Here is a 21302-nt window from a genome sequence, read left to right on the forward strand (position 1 = left end):
TCTTTAGCCCAATTTTTTTTTAATACAACCCTTTTTCATGTTCCCCTGAAACAAACTACAATGGCCAATTTCAAATCAGTTTCCAGACTCTCTAACCATAACATGGAATTTCACACTGCCAGTAAATGCTGAAAGGCTGTATTTCAAGCTGAAGTTCATTGCAAACAACACCCCACCCACTAAGAATGAGCTTCTTTTTAAAAAATTTTAAGCCACCAGAATGAGTCTTTGACTGTTTAGGAAGGTTGGGATCAAAAACAGAATGGCCAATATAATAACGTAATGGAGAATAATTCAATTAAATGCAATCTTGCTGGATTAGTAAATTTTGTGTCATTTCACCTGTGTTTAATTCCTGAAAAATACAATTCCACAAGCATTTATTTGGCGATGTGTTTGCGCGAGGCACAGAGCTGGTTGATCAGAGGAAGCTCGGTGAGATCCATCCCTGCTCTCAAGGAGCCTGCTGTGTACAATGCCACCGCCTCTGCAAACTTACCAAGCTTATCCCAGCAAATTTCTCCTTCCCTTGGCTTATGTTATAGTGGACCATGAGGTGCCCAAAGCCCCTCTGGAATTTGCAGTTCCAAGAACAAATAGTTATTTCCTTTTTTGCTTAAGTCAATTTAGTAATTGTCATTCAAAACCAGATGAACGCCTTGAAGAATAGCAGAATTTCAACAGGTAGAGATGGGGGAGAATATCATTGTAGAAAATGGAAACAGTGTGGATCAAGGTAGAGTGGATCTCGTGCAGGGTCCCCTTGGTGAACAGTGGCCATGTCCGCAACACTGGGTGCATTGGGACAGGTAAATGGAGAGGAGATAGGGTTCAAAATACAGCTTGTGAGTCATATGCTAAGAGACTTGGCTGTCTCCTTAAAGAATTGTGGGGAGAAGGCAGAGAGCGATGTAAGGGTTTGGGCAAGGATGTGCATGGCTTGATTCATGCTTGGGGTCAGTGGCTCTGGGGACAGGCAGTGTAATGGATGGATTTAAAGTAAGAGCGAGTGAAGGCACAGAGTTCTCTTGGTGTTTATAACTTTTCTTCTTAATACCTTACTCTTTAGATTTTATGATATGTTACAGATGTACAAGTTGTGTATTCATGCCTTGCTTCCTCTCTCAGGAGATAGGCTTTCTGGCTCAGTGAAATTATTCCCTCTCCTGTCTGCATTAGGAAGGTAGCCCCTACAATTATAATGCATGTTACTTCTTGTATGCAGCTAACTTGAGTTTTTTGCCCCTTCTAGTAAAGGTTAAGTGTGTGCTGTAAAATCTTGACCTATGTGGCCTAAAATTGCAAAGTGATCTTTTGTCTCAAAATGTGAACTCCTTGATCTAGCAATTCCATTGATGAGAATTTGTCCAAGGGAAATAGGATGGACACAAAGATTTGTCTGTAAAAACATTCATCTCTGAATAAGAATTTTAAAACTTGGAAGCAGCCTATAACAATGGTGTTAAATTTAGGAAGCAGATTACAAAACAAAGTGATTCTATTTTATTTATTTATTTATTTATTTATTTATTTATTTATTTATTTAGAGACAGAGTCTTGCTCTGTTGCTCAGGCTGGAGTGCAGTGGCATGACCACAGTTCACTGCAGCCTCAACCTCCTGGGCTCAATCAGTTCTCCCACCTCAGCCTCCCAAGTAGCTGGGACTACAGGCATATACCACAATGCCCAGCAATTTTTTTTTTTTTTTTTTTTTTTTTTCGTAGAGACAGAGTTTTGCCATGTTGCCTAGGCTGGTCTCAAACTTCTGGGCCCAAACAATCTTTCTGCCTTGGCCTCCCAAAGTGCTGAGATTACAAATGTGAGTTATCATGCCCAGACTGATTCTATTTTTTTTAAAAAAAGAAAATTAATAAAGAATTCACGAAGGAAGAGTCTAAGGATATTGACCAAACTTGTGTGGGTATTTTTATTTCATTCTTTGGCTTTTAAAATATTTTATAAATTTTCTTCAATGAATACATAGAAATGAATATCAAATAAATGAATATTGAAAAAAATTGTTGGTAATCAGGAAAAGATGCCATTTAATTACTTTAATGCAAGAGGGGTAGAGTGCAGTTCAGAACCATTGTTAGTTACGTTCCATCTCTTGGGTAAATCTAGGCTTCAGAGTCTCCTTTCGAATAGGGTGATTACTGCAGATAAACTCAAAGATCCTCTACAACTCTAATGTCTTACCACATTATTATGCCTCTCTGTGTCCTGTAGCACCAGGTATGAACCTCATCATAGCAGCCATCACAAGGTGAGTCATTCTCAGTTATGTGTTTGCTTCTCCAATGGACTGGAGCACCTTGGGGGCAGAAACAGTCTTGTAGCTCTTCTCTTTGACACGAGCATCTGGTTTCGAGTGACAAAAAGGAAATTACTATTCATTCTTGGAACTACCAAGTCCAGAAATAGATCTATTTCAGATGTAGCTGGATCTAGTGTCCAAATGATTCTACCCAGAGTCTGTCTCTCTCAGCTCTATGTTGGTTTCTGTTGGCCTCTGTCAGGCTGCTGGCAGCCTCAAGCTCAAATTCTTACAACTTCTGTCTCCACTGGGGGAGAGAGATTAATCTTCTCAGTAGTTCCACAGAAGTCCCAGGATTGCTTTTCTTTGTGTTCCATGCACAGCACAGTGGCCAGGGGCTTAGCATATGCCAGATACGCCTCCTGTGGCTGGTAGGAGTCATGCGGGGAGGGATGCAAGGCTGGTCTCTCCTAAAACAGCCACATGCACCAAGAGTAGGACTGGTGGTTTCCCAAAGGACAATCAAGATGCTGTCACCAGAAAAGGGGGAAACGAATTCTGGGCGAGAAAATAACAGTGAAATCTCCACTTGTGCCCCCAGCCCCTTGAACCACGCTGGGCATCAACTGGGTAGGGCCTCAGTGAAGCTTGTAGAATGAGTGAAGGGTCAATGCAAACTGTCACTACCCCCATCCCATAGAGAAACTTAAATCTCACTCGATTCTGATTACCCAGGTACAGCCTGACTTATGATTTCTATGATTATAAATTCTGGCTCCTAGTTTTTCAAATACTTGGCTTAATCTCAGCTACTTACAAAAATTTGAGGTTATTTTTATAAAGTCATTTTTATAAAGCCATTTGCCTCTTCAGCCTTTATACACATTCATTTTCTTAGAGTCAAGTAAGAATTTCTGTTGGATTAATATACACGAACATGACCATTGTAACTCTCAGTTCCAATCCAGGCACTGTCATTAACTGATTTATGCTTTGTCTTTGAAAGACTGTTGAAATATTTCTCTTTATAGTATGTGGGAAATAGTCCAACTCAAATACAGGTTATTTTACTTCATAATTGTAAAACTCTCTTGCCAGAGAAGCAAAGCAAAGAGCAGTAGGGATTCTAGTATTCAACACTCCACTTTAATGCAGGATTTTTCCTAGTGATTAAATTTCTATATTATGATTTTTAAAGATTTAATACAAGCATATGTAAAAAAATTAAATAGTACATAAGAGTATATAATGAACAATAAGTCTTTCTTCTATCCTTGATCCCCTTTCATGGAGGCAACTACTGCCAATCATTTTTTATGTATCTTTCCAGAGATATACAATGCAAACATAAGCATATTTAAAATTTGCAAATATAACATGTACTTATCGCCATAGCTCCTTTTTCTTTTTACATAAATGGTAAGAGCAATGCACCTGTTATGCATTTGTTCTACTGAACATTATATCTCAGAGAGTGTTCCATATTAGAACAAACAGCTCTACCTTGTTCTTTTTAATGACTGCATAGAATTCTAATATAAGGATATACTATAATTTTCCTAACCACTCCTCTACTGATGGATATTTAAGTCGTTGAGTTGAGCACTCCAGCCTGGGCAACAGAGCAAGACTCCATCTCAAAAAAAAAAAAAAAAAAAAAGACATCACTGAGGAACTTACCAAAGTAAAGTAAGAGTAAGACAAAATAAGATTTTAAGAGTAAACAAAAATAAAGACGTCTGGCGTGACAATTGGGATTTGTGCATCAAATGAGAGGCTCAGGGGAAGGCCTAGGCTGACTTCCAGAACAATGACTGTTTAGCCTAAAGCTAAACTTAATTTTCATTTTTAAGTTCAGCCTAAAGTTTTCTTGTGCATAATGAATTGCAATCTAACTGGATGTGTGAACATACTGTAACCTACTCTTGTGCCAGTCCCTGAGTTTTGACCAATCAAAGGCAGCCAAGTGTTCAAACTGTGTTCAAATAGGCAAATGCCAAGTTGTAGCCAATCCAGCTGTTTCTGTACCTCACTTCCATTTTCTATATGTCACTTTCCTTTTTCTGTCCATAAATCTTCAACCATATGGCTGCTGCTGGAGATCCTCTGAACCTGTTTTGTTTTGGGGGCTGCCCAATTCACAAATCACTCTTTGCTTAATTAAACTTTGTTAAATTTAGTTTGTCTAAATTTAGATGGTGTCAAAAGTAGAATTTGAAGTAGAGATTCCAGTGTCTCCCAGGAGCACCAAGGGACCAAGCAGGGACCTGCCGAGCCCCATTGTGTCCATTGCTAAATCACGGCAACCGGGGATCATAAGTTCTCTCTTGGATTCCAGAGCTCCACGGATTTGTGTTTTGAGCTATCTGAGGTTGAGCACATTTTTTATCTGAACTAGATTCAGAAGTCATGACAAAAGCTGGTCTGGGTCAGGCACTGAACTGGATCCAATAATTAACTGACTTGGATCCAGTTAGAGGCCTCGGATGCCTGAGGGGGTCAGGCAGAAACTGGCAGTAGATGGCAAAACTGCAGGGGTGCAAACTTTAGCTTTTGGAAATTTGCAGATATTTTTGTGTTCTACCCCCTTTCTTTTTCTTGCACACTTTAAGTAGGGAGAAATCATTGACTAAGTTGATTAAGAGAATATGAGAACCAAAGCCAAGATTCAAGGTAAAAATGAGATCCTTAATTTCTTCAGAAATTCAGAAATTAAGGAATCTACCTTCCAACTATGCCTACATTTACATGTATGAATATTAGGTCCCAGAAGCAGTAAATGCTATAGAAATGGCAAAATCTTACCAAAGATAATTTAACATTACAATGGAACATTCCAGATGGACAACACTGCACTTTAAGAAATACATTTGATGATGGCCACAAAGAGCTGTTAAAAAACAAAAAATTGAATTTGAAAATGAGGGCTCCCGAATTAGAGTCATCCAATGATGCCTATTAATGTGAAGCTTCTAAAAAGATTTCAATGTTTTTATTGCTTTCAAAGAAAATACTCTTTATAAAAGGCAAATAAAAAGCTTAACCGTTTAATTGATAAGAAGAATTAAATCTGCTAAATGTTTGGCTTGGTTACTATCCTACCCTGAAGGCAAAAAGAAAGCTATCCTGGGTAAAATGTTTATAAAACATTTTGGTAGACTTGTTAGAGATGAAATAGACTTGCTTCCTTTTCAGATCTATCCATGCTGAGTCCAGGCATAGAGAATGCTTTCTTTGCTTTATTCCTTAACAGACTCCGCTCTGAACTCAGTAATTTTAGCTAAGAAACAGTAGCTAAGTTAAAAAAAAAAAAACAAAAAAAAACAACTACAACAACAAAAAAAACACCACTCCTAGAACGAAAATACACCTTTCTGGCATTTAACTGGCTATTTTGAAACCTTTTTTAAAAAGAAATTTACATCTATATAGGAAATCTGCATTTGTAAGGGTGTCTGCTGTATACATAAGAAACTTACAATTGTTTTAAATTTACATAACAACTCATACCTTTGTTTAAGGCACTTTTCTGGACAGCCTGTTTTAAGTAAACTTTTACTTACACTATTTTTTCCTTGGCTAGAGTGAATGATGGTACAGTATTTAGGTCTCAAATCTTATTTCTGTGCTTTTGAGATATAAACTTTCTACCTTGTTTCACCTGAGTTGTCCCTTTAGAAATGCAAGTTTAGGGTTGCCTAGCTAACAATTACTTAGGGCAATGAAACACATAATTGGAAGATGGATAGTGTGAATGAGGAAAAGAAAAACTATTTCGAAGCTAGCAAATGAGAATCTTTGTGAAGGGTATAAAATCTGCTTCTGTCTGTGTGTCTGTATATCTATATGTGTTATGTGTATGTGATAGTATTTGGTAAATAAAGCCAGTTTGAAAATTGTTGATAAAATAGGAATGGATTCAAAATTGCCAGTTGAAAATAATTAGACACTTGCTTGATTTGACAGACTGTGAACTTATGTTTTTGGTTTTGAGCCTCTGGAGTTGGGGGTCTGAATAAGTGGCCATGGTAAGGCCTAGGGACATGTTCTCAGTGCCCAGACCAGCAGCTACCAAGCAGAATCAGGCCCAATATGGCCCCTTCTTAACCTGCCTCAGCTTTGCCTCCTGGCTATTCTGGGAGGGGTTCCATCTTCCAGGCCTCTCCTTCACAGCTCTGTCTTCTGTCCTTAGCTCTACAACTAGTATGTAAATTCAGGACTCAGGCCCTGCCCTTCACAGCCTTCCTGGGTGCCACTTGGCTACTTGGGACCCAGGATGACTGTGGAAAACATTAGAAGAGGGTTCCTGTGTCATAGTTTCAAAATTCTTTTCAGTAATTTAGAATCTTTTTGTTTGAGACAGAGTCTCACTCTGCCACTCAGGCTGGAGTGCAGTGGCGTAATCATAGCTCACTCCAGCCTCAAATTCCTAGGCCCAAGTGATCCTCAAGTCAGCTGGGACTAAAGGTACACACCACCACACCCAGCTAATTTTTAAAAAAAAATTTTGCTATGTTGCCCAGGCTACTCTCAAACTGTTGAACTCAAGCAATCCTCCTGCCTTGGCCTCCCAAAGTGTTGGGATTACAAGCGTGAGCTACCGTGCACAGCCAGTAATTTAAAATATTAAATTCATGTTATGTTTGATTAAATAATAGATAATCATAAAATCTCTAAGTCATTTGTAAGCTAAAATACTAAAACAATAATAAACATAAGTTTAAGTTTATATACTTTGACATCTTATTTTTATATGATATAGAAAAGCTAAATATACTTAATGAACAATAATTTAAGGATGCATATTTCTAAAAAATTATAAAATAGTTTTCATCTATAAATACTGATACAAAACAGTTCAAAATTATTTGCTAGGGTTTTCACTAGAACTTAGGTTACTAAGAGTTTAAATTACAGTTAATATATGTAATTAAAACTACTAGATGTAAGACAAACAATTCTGTATAAAGTGTATAAACAAGCAAGATGTGCTTTTAGTGAGGAAAGCTATAAAGTGTGTGTTTGTTAAAAAGACTTTTTTTTGTCTAGTTTGAAGTTACTTAAAGGTTCTTTCAAGTAGAAGGAATAAAAAAGATGTAGATGAAACTCATATAGAAAGTTGAAATGAAAAAGAATTGTATAAATGTACGAGAGATTACGAAAAGTTTATGGAAATCTGGTGTGGTCAAAAGCCAACCGAGGTTTGTTTATAAGTTTTTATTAAAATTAGCTTTGATATCAATAAATACACTAATACAAAAGTAAAATTTTGTTTTATCTTTTGAAAAAAAAATTTCATGTAGTATTAATAAGACAAGTAAAAGTGGCTGGGTGTGGTGGTTGATGTCTTTAATCCCAGCTCTTTGGGAGACCAAGGCAGGTGGATCACCTGAGGTCAGGAGTTCAAGACCAGCCTAACCAACATGGTGAAATCTCATCTCTACTAAAAATATGAAAATTAGACAGGCATGGTGGTAATCCCAGCTACTAGCGAGGCTGAGGCAGGAGAATCCCTTGAACCCAGGAGATGTAGGTTGCAGTGAGTCGAGATCATGCCACTACACTCCAACCTGAGTGACAGAGTGAGACTCCATCTCAAAAAAAGAAAGAAAAAAAAAAAAGACAGTAAAATATTTTTGTTCACCTTTTGAGTAAACTGCAAAAAAAAAAAAACAAAGAAAAGGAGACAAGGGGAGACAGATTTTTTTTTTCTCATATTGTCTTTCTCAGGTCTTTTGATTGCTTGGGTAACTGTGTCTTCTTACTATCAGAGAATAAAGATTTGTGCTTTTAAAAACTTTTTCATTATCACATTGGCTATATAAATGACTATTATTTTACAATGACCTGTGATTCTATTTGGCCAAGTGTTTTAAACCTTTGGCATATTTGACAAGCTTCCTGAAATCACATTTCAACTTCAAAATTTGTCTTTTTTGTTGTTGTTTTTGACCTCTAACTTCAGGGTGCTAAAGAGGGCCTCTGAAGCATACAAAAGAGAGATAAACAGTATTGATATGTTAAATTACATGGAAAGCATTGTCAAATAAGAAATACTGTTTAACCTTCTTCAAGTTATATTTTTATAAATGTTATTAATATATGTTCTAAAATTGTATGGAATTCCTAAAATTCTGATATGTCTGTATGCTATCAGCCATAATTATGGTTATATTAAATTTTTGTAGGTCACAAAATAACCAAATTTCCTTCTCAATTGTACTCTTTAACTGTGATCATTTTAAGTCATTTCCACAGTTAATTGCTTACTTCTGATACAGTTTCTGGAAACTTCACAAGCAAGCAAAATCCTAGAGCATTGTGTCTTCAAGGAGTTTCATGAAAACGATAAAAAGAACCCTGACAAGCACTCTTGAATAAGGCTTCTGATAGCTTTAGGATAATAACATTTGGACTTGGTAAGAATTCCCAGAATTCTAATGAAGAAACCGACTGGTTTATAAAATTGCTAACCTAAGCAGGATAAAAATTAATTGGATACCAAGAAAATACTTTGCCAGATTTTCAAGCTAAATCAGTCAGTATTGAAATTGTTTAAATATGCAATTTGAATGAATTTCATGCTCCAAGTCAAATGATAACTCATCTAATAAACAGTGCTATGCTCCTAAATTGAAGAAACGAAATTGATATTCAAGAGGGTATAAGTTCAATGTTAAGCATGGACTTATGGAGAGCCTGGATGGCAAACTAGACCTTCTTGGTCCTTAAAGCTTCCAATATTAAAAGCTTTGCATTCCATGACTTATAATGGAAGAAATAAAAATATAAATTAAACACACACACACACACACACACACACACACTGACTATTCTAAACTGCTGAAATAATTTATGACCAATGTTTGCTTTGTCAAACCCAAAATCCTGCAAAGATGATCAAAACTTCAGGTACATTTCTGATACCTGATGGCCTGTTTAAACATTTATAGAGGGATTTCATGCAATTGTTATTTTCAATGCATGTTTTCTGGTTGTATAGAAGGTTTCCCATGCAAGAAGATTGATGTTATTACAGCAGCTAAAAGGTTATTAGAAATTGTTTTTCTCTAATGGGACATTTCTGGAGAAATCTCTAGTGATAGAGGTACTTGTTTCACTGAACAAGTTGTAATAGTTAAATATGGTATTACAGATACAATAGCAATAAATAAAACTAACTGAATATTGAATTGCCTTGGTCAGAGGTATTGCAGAATGATGACAGTCAGATCCATTTAAAGCGGAAAACATAAGTTGACCCCTTATGCAATAATCACTGGAAGGCTTATGCACTTAATAATAGAAGCTCATTATCTTTTATCACTAAACTCTGATATGACTAAATGCGGCAAGACTTTTAATGCATTGTGCCAAAGTGTATTTTCACCAGGTGAAGAGGTTTTTCATGGTCCACTGACTAAGGACGATCAAACCCTTCACAATCTATAATAGAACCTGGAGACTGGGTCTTCTAAGAACAACATCAAAGAAAAACTACCTTTGCCACCCGCACTGCGGCAAAACTTGAGGATCTTGAACCTTGAGTTCACAACTCAGAAGCTCCCCTCCAGACTCTTGGAACTATATAGCCATTGGGTACCTAAGATAAAGCTAACCAGGGAAGTTTCTCCCCAGAAACAGACAGCATCTTTGACATACACAGCTTTTTCCCAAGAGCATGTTTTAAGGCTTCTCTGCTATCATGAGATTCTCATCTCTAAATTTTTTCCTTGCCTATGTCTCTGTGAACAATAGAACTGAAAAAGGGGCCTCTTGTGTGCACTCATGAGGTATACATTTATTTTTGGAGGATGTCACAGCCAGCCTTATCAATAAACAATCTTCTGCCTTGACAGACGGAAGAGGAAGGGCCAATGTAAGTGAGAAATTTTAATGGTAACTTTGTTGCTTCATTATCTATCAAAACCAGAACATTTGTCCACACCTCTTAACCTACATCATAGGTTAAAGAGAACATTGCCAGAGGCCTTCATTCTTTTGGATGGGCATCATTTATTAGGTCTGTTTTTCCATGGTTTAAAGTAAATGAGGCAATGATTAGAAATGTATCCCTCGGCTGGGCGCGGTGGCTCACGCTTGTAATGCCAGCACTTTGGGAGGCCGAGGCTGGCAGATCACTTGAGGTCAGGAGTTTGAGACCAGCCTGGGCAACATGATGAAACCCCGTCTCTACTAAAAAGACAAAAAAAATTAGCTGGGCGTGGTGGCGTGTGCCTATAGAAGGCTGAGGCAGGAGAATCGCTTGAACCTGGGAGGCAGAGGTTGCAGTGGTCTGAGATTGCGCCACTGCACTCCAGCCTGGGCGACAGAGCAAGACTTCGTCTCAAAAAAAAAAAAAAAGAAAGAAATGTATACCTCATAATAGTCTGTAGATCTGTACAGCAGATTCTACTGCAAAGGCTATGGTTACACAACAGACTTTAAACTCTCTTGTGTATGTTGTGCTAATTAATAGAATTGCTCTAGATCATCTACTGGCTAAACAGAAGTATCTGTGCAGTTGCTGATACATCTAGTTGCCCATGGGGAAATACACTGGACGTTATAGAGACTTGACTGTAGGGAATTAATGAACAGGCTGCTTGGTTGGAATGAATAGACTTTTTATCTAGCTCATTCTTTGGTCTATTTGATTTTAGTTGGTTTGGTTCATGGGAACCCCGGCTAAGGAGCATACTTCAAACTTTTGGTATTACCCTCCTGATAGTTGTAATAAGAGTCTCCCTGGTTTGTTGTATTCCCTCAAAAGTTTTAAATATTTGCAAGCAGCCATCCATAAAATGTCAAATGGTCTTTCTTCAACTGGAATGATAAAAACTAAAAGAAATATGAACATGGGGTAACGTAACCTAAGAATGATATGCTGAGAGTGGAAACCCAAAATGATGATAACTGAGAGTGGTGCTAAGGCTGTAAGTTTTGGTTATACTCTCACCTAAATGAGAACCTAACCAAAAGGGGAGAATTTTTAAACAAAATGATGGGAGACCATTATTTTGGATTGAGCTCAGGTAGTAGGCCACAACAGACCAGACCAAACCAAACCAAAATGGAGTCACTCATGCTAAATGCGACATAATCAAATTGAAATTTTAATGAAGCAGGTAGGTCCTAAAACAGGCCAAGTTTCGTTTTTCTCCTGTAAACAGGAGATTGCAGCACAAGAAGGTCCCCTCTACTGTAACCCTTACAAACATAGGCTGGGCATGGTGGCTCACACCTGTCATCTTAGCACTTTGGGAGGCCAAGGTGGGTGGATCTCTTGAGCTCAGGAGTTCAAGACCAGCCTGGGCAAATGGCAAAACTCCATGTGTATTAAAAAACAAAAACAAGATGCCTTTATTCCCACCTTGCAAAACCCACTGTTTTGCTATTTCTCAATGGGATTTAAGACAGCATAAGGATATTTAGCATGGTAGTAGAGTAACATCAATGCCTACAGTTTTGGTCAATCTCTCAAAACTGGGGAATTGCTAAATTAAATTTAATCCAAAGCGCCTACTTACATATTTTAAGTTTGACCTAACTTATGGTATCTTCATACTGAATAAACTGTAACCTAACTGGATGTATTAGTCCATTTTCATACTGCTATGAAGAAATGACTGATGTAATCCCAGCACTTTGGGAGGTGGAGGTGGGTGGATCTCAAGGTCAGGAGATCGAGACCATCCTGGCTAACATGGTGAAACCCCGTCTCTACTAAAAATACAAAACAAAAATAGCCAGGTGTGGTGGCAGGCACCTGTAGTCCCAGCTACTCAGGAGGCTGAGGCAGGAGAATGGCGTGAACCCAGGAGGCAGAGCTTGCAGTGAGCTGAGATCACGCCACTGCACTCCAGCCTGGGCAACTTGAGTGAGACTCCGTCTCAAAAAAAAAAAAAAAATTAGACTGGGTAATTTATAAAGAAAAAGAGGTTTAATGGACTCACAGTCCTGCACAGCTGGGGAGACCTCACAATCATGGCAGAAGGTGAAGGAGGAGCAAAAGCACATCTTACATGGCGGCAGGCAAGAGAGTGTGTGCAGGGGAGCTGCCCTTTATAAAACCATCAGATTTCATGAGACTTATTCACTATCATGAGAACAGCATGAATGCCTCCATGATTCAATTACCTTCCACCAGCTCCCTCCCATGACATGTGGGGATTATGGGAACTACAATTCAAGATGAGATTTGGGTGGGAATACAGCCAAACCGTGTCACTGGATTTGTAAACAGACTGTAAACTACTCTTGTGTTGATCACTGAGTTTTGGCCTATCAAAGGCGGCCAACTCTTCAAACCGCATTCAGATAAGGCAATTGCCAAGCTGTAACTGATCCAGCCAGTTTTGTACCTCATTTTCATTTTCTGTCTGTCACTTTCCTTTTTCTGTCCATCAATTTTCAACCATGTGGCTGCTCCGGAGACTCTCTGAACCTATTCAGGTTCAGGAGTTGCCAGATTTGTGAATCATTCTTTGCTCAGTTAAACTCTGTTTAATTTGTCTTAGGTTTTTCTTTTAACACTCAGTTGTAACTCTATTGCCTACATAAGTTGGAGAATGAATATGGCTCTGGAGTGACCGACTGACTGGCTTGCTCAGGACTGAGATATTTTCCAGGACTTTTGATTTTAAAACCAGGACAGTCCCAGGCAACCCCTGATAGTTGGTTACCCTTTTTGGGTATTGAAAGGCTCTGAGCCATACTATGTGACCATTCTATTTCATTAATCTTTCTATTCTGAATCCTTCCTCTGATATTCTGTGGCTAGACCTTATCCTGAGTTATAGACCTGGGAATAATGCCTTGAAAGTTAAATGGTTCCTTTGGATAAAGTAAGTCTATTAACCAAAGACAAGTCCATTTGCAATGGACTTCAGCTCTCTGAGTCTTTATTGAAGTCTTGAGCTCTCTATTAAAATCAAGTAATCTCTATTAAACACAAGTAATCACTGGCTGATTCAGGTGCTTTATAAATCTATTTTAATAATTTGCTGGAGGTTGTAAATTATAACAAGGTGAATGAAGCCAGTGATGAAGTGTTGTGTTGGGATAGCTTTCTCCCTGAGAGGAGAAACTGAGGCAGATAAGAACTGAGAAATGGATAGAAAATTATCCAAAGAAGTTACACAAATTGGCCAATAAACACATGAAAAATGTTCAATATCATTAGCCATCAGGGAAATGAAATGCAAAACCATGAGACAGCACTTCACACTCACTAGGATGACTATAATAAAAAAGACAGACAGTAACAAGTGTGGGGGAGGATGTGGATAAATTGGAACCCTAACACATCACTGATGAGATTCTAAAACGGTGCAGTCACTTTGGGAAACAGTCTGGCAGTTCCTCAAATGGCTAAACAACAGGTTGACGTATAACCTAGCAATTCCACTCCTCAGTGTATGCCCAAGAGAAATGGAAACACATATCTACACAAAAACTTGCATGTGTGTGTTCACAGCAGCACTAGTCACAATAGCCATAAGGTGAAAACAACCAAATGTTCATTGATAATGAATAAATAAAATGTGGTATATCCATATGATGGAATATTTATAAAATATTTCATAAAAGAAATACTGATACATGGTACAACATGGATGAACCTTAAAATACTACGCTAAGTGAAAGAAGCCAGACACAAAATGCCATATACTCTATGACTGCATGTCTATGAAATATCCATACCAGGCAAATCTATAAAGAGACAGTAGATTAGTGATTGCCAGACTCTTGGGTTGGGGGTGGGGGTTGGGAAAATTGTGGAGTGATGGTCAAGGAGTGCAGGAAGTTTAGGGGGTAATGAAAATATTATAAATTTGATTTTGATGATAGATGCACAACTCTGTGAATATACTAAAATTCATTGAATGGCACACTTTAATTGGGTGCATTTTATGCTATGTGAATTACATCTCAGAGCTGTTAAAGAGAAAGAAATAGAAGATTGTTCTGAGCTTTGCTTCTGTTTCATGGCACAACCAAGACCGCATTACAAACCTGACTCAACAAGGTTACGTGAAACTCAGGCTCAGCAAGTCCCCACCTCATCAGACTCTCTCTTCATGTCAGTGAGAAAAGTGCCAGGAATGTTAAGTTCTTCTTACTATGGGATTTAAAAAAGGAAGTGACCAGGTCACTATCTGTATTAGTCAGGGTTCTCCAAAGGGACAGAACTAATAAGATATATGTATATATGAAAAGGAGTGTAATAGGGAGGATTGGCTCACATGATTACAAGGTGAAGTCCTATGACAAGCCATCTGCAAGCCAGGGAAGAGAGAAGCTGGTAGTAGGTCAGTCCAAGTCTGAATGCCTCAACACCAGGGAAGCAGATAATACAGGCTTCAATCTGTGGTCAAAGGCCCAAGAGCCCCCAGCAAGGCACTGATGCAAGTCCTAGAGTCCAAAGGCCAAAGAACCTGGAGTCTGATGTCCAAGGGCAGGAGGAAGAAAAGAAAGAAGACTCAGCCAGCAAGGTTATTCCACCTTCTTCTGCCTGCTTTGTTCTAGTCACACTGGCAGCTGATTGTATGGTGCCCCCCACATTGAGGGTGGGTCTTCCTCTCAGTCCACTGACACAAATGTCGATCTCCTCTGGCAACACCCCTCACAGACACACCCGAAATAATACTTTACCAGCCATCTAGGCATCCTTGAATCCAATCAAGTTGACATCTAACATTAATTTCACAAGTCCACACCTTGTCAATTGGGCACCCATATACATCTCCTGAAATCATACTTAATCTCCAAATAAAGACAATAAGAAGGTCATAATTACACCTACCAGAACACAACTATTCTTCATACAACCGAAAGCACACTAATCTTTAACCTAAATGCTATTACATAAAGTTAGCACTTAAATACTGCTATGAAGTCAATAAATCTTATGTTACATGATAAAGGTAAAAGCAAGTAAATGAAGATATTTCTTCAATATGGGTGTAAACATGCACAAACATATTCTTAACAAAATAAACAGGAATTACAGTCCTCATTTCTGCAAGTGGTCATAGCTCATATTGATAACTACCTTCTTCTACTACACATTCTATATTCCCTTTGCCTTCAGCAAGCCCCTTAGCTGGTGATTTTTTACCTGGTGGAGTGAACTAAATCTTCATCCTTGAAGGGCCTGGGTTATTTGTAGTCATGCCTGGATTGCATTTTTATAGTTTCCCATTGATCTTAATCACAGGGCATGGTAATACTAAGAGATGGCCTAAGGAATCTCCTGTATTCCAGACATGCTCTTCTTGACCTCCATTGTGTAGTAGTAGACTGATTTTATCTTGATAGTTCGGGTCAATCACCCCAGTCAACACTGTAACTCCTCTTAGCCTGTTGACTTAGAGGCAGGAGGAGCCCAAAGTGGCAAGGTGATAGTCTTAACTTCCAGTTCAATTGAATCATTGTGTCTTCTGGTGGCAACATTCTTCCCTCTGGAACTAAGACCTCTAGGCCTTAATTGACAGCAGAATGTAACGTTGCAGGAACAGGAAGCAAACGTTTTGCTAATGAGTCACTAGGGGTGACGGTGAGTGGTGCCACTTTCACTTCTACCCCTTGATTCCTAGACAGGCTATGGGAGAAGCAGTTTCATACATTGAATGCTGATTCAGAGCACCCACCGTCTTCTGCAGAACTTTGTCCCAGGCCTGCAAAGTATTGTCACCTAGTTGGTGCTGTGATTGTGACTTCAAAAGGCCATTCTTCCCATTCTATCAAGCCATCTGCTTCAGGATGATGGGGAATATAGTAAGACCAGTGAATGCCATGAGCATGAGCATACTGCCACATTTCTTCAGCTGTGAAGTGAGTTCCTTTTTCAGAGGCAATTGTATGTGGAATACAATGATGGTGGATAAGGCATTCTGTGAGTCCATGGATGGTAATCTTGGCAGAAGCATTGCATGCAGGAGAGGGAAATCCATATCCAGAGTAAATGTTTATTCCAGTAAGAACAAACTGCTGCCCTGTCCATGGTGTAAGAGGTCCAATGTAATCAACCTGCCACCAGGTAGCTGGCTGATCACCCCAAAGAATGATGCCGTACTGAGGGCTCAGTGTTGGTCTCTGCTGCTGGCAGATTGGGCAATCGGTGGTGGCTGTAGCCAGGTCAGCTTTGGTAAGTGGAAGTTCATGTTGCTGAGCCCATGCATAACCTCCATCCATTGCCACCATGGCCATTTTGTTCATGAGCCCATTGGGCAATGACAGGGTTGGCTGGGGAAAGAGGCTGAGTGGTGTCCACAAAATGGGTCATCCTATCTACTTGATTATTCAAATGCTCCTCTGCTGAGGTCATCCTTTGGTGAGCATTCATGTGGGACACAAATATCTTCACGGCTTTTGACCCCTCAGAGAGGTCCACACACATACCTCTTCCCAAGATTCATTTGTCACCAATTTTCCAGTTATGCTCCTTTCAAGTCCCTGACCATCCAGCCTAACCATTGGCTACAGCCCACTAATCAGTATATAATCCCACATCTGGCCATTTCTCCTTCCAAGGAAAGTGCACGACCAGGTGCACTGCTCAAAGTCCTGCCCACTAGGAAGATTTCCCTTCACCTCTGTCCTTCAGGCATGTCCTAGAAAGGGGCTGTAGTGCTACAGCTGTCCACATTCAGGTGGTGTCTGCATACTGTGCAGTACCATCTGTAAACCAGGCCCTAGTCTTGTCTTCCTCTGTCAACTGATCATAGGGAAATCCCCATGAAGCCATGGGTGCAGCCTGGGAGAGAGAAGGCAGGGTGGTAGGAGTGGGGACCACGGGCATTTGACCCACTTCCTCATGTAACTCTCTTGTGCCTTCAGGACCTGCTCAAGCCCAATCATGTATATACCACTTCCATTGAATGACAAAATGCTGTTGTCCATACCCAACTTTATGGCTAGATGGGTCAGAAAGCACCCAGTTCATGATAGGAAGTTCAGGTCGTGGAGTAGCTTGGTGACTTGTAGTCAAAGGTTCAGTTTCCACCAAGGCCCAGTAACAGGCCAAAAGCTGTCTCTCAAAAGGAAAGTAGTTATCTTCAGAAGATGGTAGGGCCTTGCTCCAAAATCCTAGAGGCCTCTACTGTGATTCACCTATGGGGCCCTGACAAAGGCTCCAAACAGTATCCCTATCTGCCACTGACACCTCAAGCACCATTGGGTCTGCTCGGTCATATGGCCCAAGTGGCAGAGCAGCTTGCACAGCAGCCTAGACCTCTTGCAGAGCCTTCATTTGCTCTGGGCCCCACTCAAAACTAGCAGCCTTTTGGGTCGCTCAATAAATAGGCCAGAGTAACCCACCCAAATGAGGAATGTGTTGCCTCCAAAATCCAAATATGCCCACTAGGCCTTGTACCTCTTTCTTGGTTGTAGGAGGGGACAAATGCAACAATGTATCCTTCACCTTAGAAGGAATATTTCAACAGGCCCCTCACCAGTGGACCCCTAGAAATTTCACTGATATAGAAGGTCCATGAATTTTAGTTGGATTTATTTCCCATACCCTGACATGAAAGTGTTTCACCAATAAGTCCCGAGTGCTTGCTACTTCTCACTCACTGGGTCCAATTAGCATAGTGTCACTGATGCAATGAACTAGTGTGATATCTTGTGGAAGGGAAAAGTGATCAAAATCTCTGTGAGCAAGACATTGCTGGCCTTGCTGGCTGAAGGCAAATTGCCTCTGGTAGGCCTTATGGACAGGAGTAAGAGGCAAATTGCCTCTGGTGGGCCTTATGGACAGGAGTAAAGAAAAAGTTACCAGGTACCAGGAGATGTGTTAATTTGCTCAAACAATGAACCACATCTAGTATAGCAGCTGCAATTGGAGTCACCACTTCGTTAAGCTTATGATAGTCCACTGTCATTCTCCAGATCCATATGTCTTCTGCATAAGCCAAATAAAAGAGTTGAGGCCAGGCGCAGTGACTCATGCCTGTAATCCCAGCACTTTGGGAGGTGGAGGCAGGGGGATCACGAGGTCAAGAGTTCAAGACCAGCCTGGCCAATGTGGTGAATCTCTACTAAAAATACAAAAATTAGCCGGGCATGGTGGCGTGTGCTTGTAGTCCCAGCTATCTGGGAGGCTGAGGGAGGAGAATCGCTTGAACCTGGGAGGCAGAGGTTGCAGTGAGCCAAGATCACACCACTGCAGTCCTATTAGAAACCTTTTTCTAACTCCCCAAGCTGTAGCATTAAATGCAGAATCTCTGCTTAGTGGGCCCATATTAATAAATCCAGCCTGATCCAACTTTACGTTCCTTCCACCTGTCAATGAAAAGAGTCAAATTCTGGAAAATATTTGAAGAGTTTTATTCTGAGCCAAATATGAGTGACCATGGCGCATGACACAGGCCTCAGGAGGTCCTGAGAGTATGTATCCAAGGTGGTTGGAGTGCAGTTTGGTTTATACATTTTAGGGAGGCATGAGACATAAAATACATTTAAGAAATACATTGGGTTGGTCCAGAAAGGTGGGACAACTCAAAAGTGAGGGAGGGTGGGAGGGTTGGGGGGTGGGGAGGTGGTGCATGGCTTCCAGGCCCTAGGTAAATTTAAACATTTTCTGGTTGACAACTGGTTGAGTTTGTCTAAAAAGACCTGGGATCAATAGAAAGAAAATATTCAGGTTAAGATAAAAGATTGTGAAGACCAAGGTTCTTTTGAAGTCTTACAGTGGCTGCCCTTAGAGACAATAGATGACAAATGCTTCTCCTATTCAGGTCTTTGAAAGGTGTTGACTTTTAGTTAATCTCTTTAGGATTGGGAGGGCCTGGAAGAAAAAGATCTAGTTATGTTAATAGAGATTCTTATAGATGCCAATTTCCCCCCACAAAAGACAGCTTTGCAGGGCCATTTCAGGATATAGCAAAAAAACATGTTTTGGGGTAAAATATTTTTATTTTCTTCCTTGTCTCATGATGTTATGCCAGAGTCAGGTTGGAAAGTAAGTTACCGTATATAGGGTTAAATAAAATCCATCCGATGAGAATTTATGGTTTGTAGGGCATGACTCCCCAGACCCCTTAGATAGGAATTTGGGCAAGATAAAAAAAATAGAACTTAGTACTCACATCATTATCCCATACCTTTAATGTCCATTCCCACACGTATTCTCCAGATTTCTGCTTCTATAAATTAGAAAACTCAAGTAGTTCTTTCCTCATGGGTCACACTCTGAACTTCACCTCTAGGGACCTGCTGGCACTTGAGTCTAGTTACTGCCATAGAAGCAAAGAGTGGGTGTTGGGGCTGGGTCCTGAGGAGAAGCAGCATTGTCTTGCCTGGCAACTGCCTCAGGGGGACCATCACTGTTTCCTCAAGCAATGCAGGGTTAATCTCTTCAGACAAATGTAGAAAGGCTGATAGCAGCCTGGGTCGGGGAGGGGATGTTGCCACCACTGTGAGTGGGGAGGCCGTCTCCTCTGGCAAAAAAAGGCTTATTAGAATTTAGGAGCTCAGTGCCCCCAAATTCATCAAAGTCCTCCCACACATCCCTGTCCCAAGTTACAGGGTCTCATTCCTTCCCTACCAATGCCCTTATTTTAACAGTAGACACCTGGTAAGGCTAAGCATGAACCTTTTGCTGTAGGCCTTGTGTCTGATTCTCAGCAATTTCAGCCCTTTGTCTGCAGATGATAAGACTCTCACCCAGGGCAATCACAGTAGATTTGAGGCTACATATGTGCTTCTGAGGCCAGAAGATAGAATTCCTGAGCTCATCCTTTTTTTTCAGCACTTGTCCAGTGAACTTAGGAACAACCAACCAATTTCATTATATTCCTTGGTTCTCTGCAAATGTTCAAAGTTACTGTGTATAGAGTCACTAAACCCCTTGACTCTGAGGAGCAGTGAATCAGAAGTATAAAATGCATTTATTTTTCACAATTCTAAACCACACCAAGAACTATCAGTGTTCTCCATACTATTAGAAGTAGAGTCCTTAGCACTTTTAGGTCTAATCAGATTAAAGAGCCAACTCCAGAAACCCCAACACCAACTAAAGAAATCCATCCTTAAAATGGATGGAAAGGACATGTGTTTGCTAAGCTTTTACCATTTACAGAGTTTTGGTTGAAACTGTAGGAATCTATTTAAAGAACTCAAATTATCCTGGCCAATAGGAGGGAGAGTTTATTTATGATCTGAAAATAATACTTAGTCTATTCTCCATTCTTTTGATGCCAACAAGGAAAGAAACCTGGTCAAGAAAATGCTCTGATGTGTGTTTTTTGATATCAAGCTCCTGCCTTTGGACTCAACTGACATATATATATATACACACACACACATATACACACACACACACACACACACACACACACACACACACACAAAAGGGAGTTTGTTAGGGAAAATTGGCTCACATGATTACAAGGCAAAGTCCCACAATAGGCCATCTGCAAGCTGAGAAAGAGAGAAGCCAGTAGTGGATCAGTCCAAGTCCAAAAGCCTCAAAACCAGGCAAGCTGATAGTGCAGCCTTCAGTCTGTGGCCAAAGCCCCAAGAGCCCCCGGGAAACCACTAGTCTAAGTCCCAGAGTCCAAAGACCAAAGGACCTGGAGTCTGATATCCAAGGGCACGAGGATCAGAAGGAAGCCAGAAGACTCAGCCAGCAAGGTTATCCCATATTCTTCTGCCTGCTTTGTTCTAGCCATGCTGGCAGCTGATTTTATGGTGCCCACTCACATTGAGGGTGGGTCTTCCTCTTCCAGTCCACCAACTCGACTGTCAATCTCTGCTGATAACACCCTCACAGACACACCCAGCAACAATACTTTACCAGCCATCTAGGTATTCTTCAGTCTAATCAAGTTGACACCTAATAACCATCACACCATCCTTCTACCACAGGCAGTGGCAGGGCTGAAAAGGACATGTGTTTGCTGAGATTTTACCATTTACAGAGTTTCGGTTGAAACTGTAGAATCTATTTAAAGAACTCAAATTATCCTAGCCAATAAGAGGAAGAGTTGATTTAAGATCTGAAAATAATACTTAGTCTATTCTCCATTCTTTTGA

General features: G+C 40.1%; 6 annotated features.

The window, feature by feature from the left end:
• Nucleotides 2320-2419: an enhancer, noted in NCBI's record as "active region_3709". NCBI's record gives its function as "activates an Ori minimal core promoter by ATAC-STARR-seq in GM12878 lymphoblastoid cells {active_cell/tissue: GM12878}" and the evidence as "EXISTENCE:reporter gene assay evidence [ECO:0000049][PMID:35858748]".
• Nucleotides 2460-2509: an enhancer, noted in NCBI's record as "active region_3710". NCBI's record gives its function as "activates an Ori minimal core promoter by ATAC-STARR-seq in GM12878 lymphoblastoid cells {active_cell/tissue: GM12878}" and the evidence as "EXISTENCE:reporter gene assay evidence [ECO:0000049][PMID:35858748]".
• Nucleotides 6426-7234: an enhancer, noted in NCBI's record as "NANOG-H3K27ac hESC enhancer chr10:89386301-89387109 (GRCh37/hg19 assembly coordinates)". NCBI's record gives its function as "activates a minimal SCP1, AML or CMV promoter by ChIP-STARR-seq in naive H9 embryonic stem cells {active_cell/tissue: H9 hESC(naive)}" and the evidence as "EXISTENCE:reporter gene assay evidence [ECO:0000049][PMID:30033119]".
• Nucleotides 17118-17167: an enhancer, noted in NCBI's record as "active region_3711". NCBI's record gives its function as "activates an Ori minimal core promoter by ATAC-STARR-seq in GM12878 lymphoblastoid cells {active_cell/tissue: GM12878}" and the evidence as "EXISTENCE:reporter gene assay evidence [ECO:0000049][PMID:35858748]".
• Nucleotides 18746-19261: an enhancer, noted in NCBI's record as "NANOG hESC enhancer chr10:89398621-89399136 (GRCh37/hg19 assembly coordinates)". NCBI's record gives its function as "activates a minimal SCP1, AML or CMV promoter by ChIP-STARR-seq in naive H9 embryonic stem cells {active_cell/tissue: H9 hESC(naive)}" and the evidence as "EXISTENCE:reporter gene assay evidence [ECO:0000049][PMID:30033119]".
• Nucleotides 19262-19776: an enhancer, noted in NCBI's record as "NANOG hESC enhancer chr10:89399137-89399651 (GRCh37/hg19 assembly coordinates)". NCBI's record gives its function as "activates a minimal SCP1, AML or CMV promoter by ChIP-STARR-seq in naive H9 embryonic stem cells {active_cell/tissue: H9 hESC(naive)}" and the evidence as "EXISTENCE:reporter gene assay evidence [ECO:0000049][PMID:30033119]".

Source organism: Homo sapiens, chromosome 10, assembly GCF_000001405.40.
Source record: "Homo sapiens chromosome 10, GRCh38.p14 Primary Assembly".
NCBI classification, from domain to species: domain Eukaryota; kingdom Metazoa; phylum Chordata; class Mammalia; order Primates; family Hominidae; genus Homo; species Homo sapiens.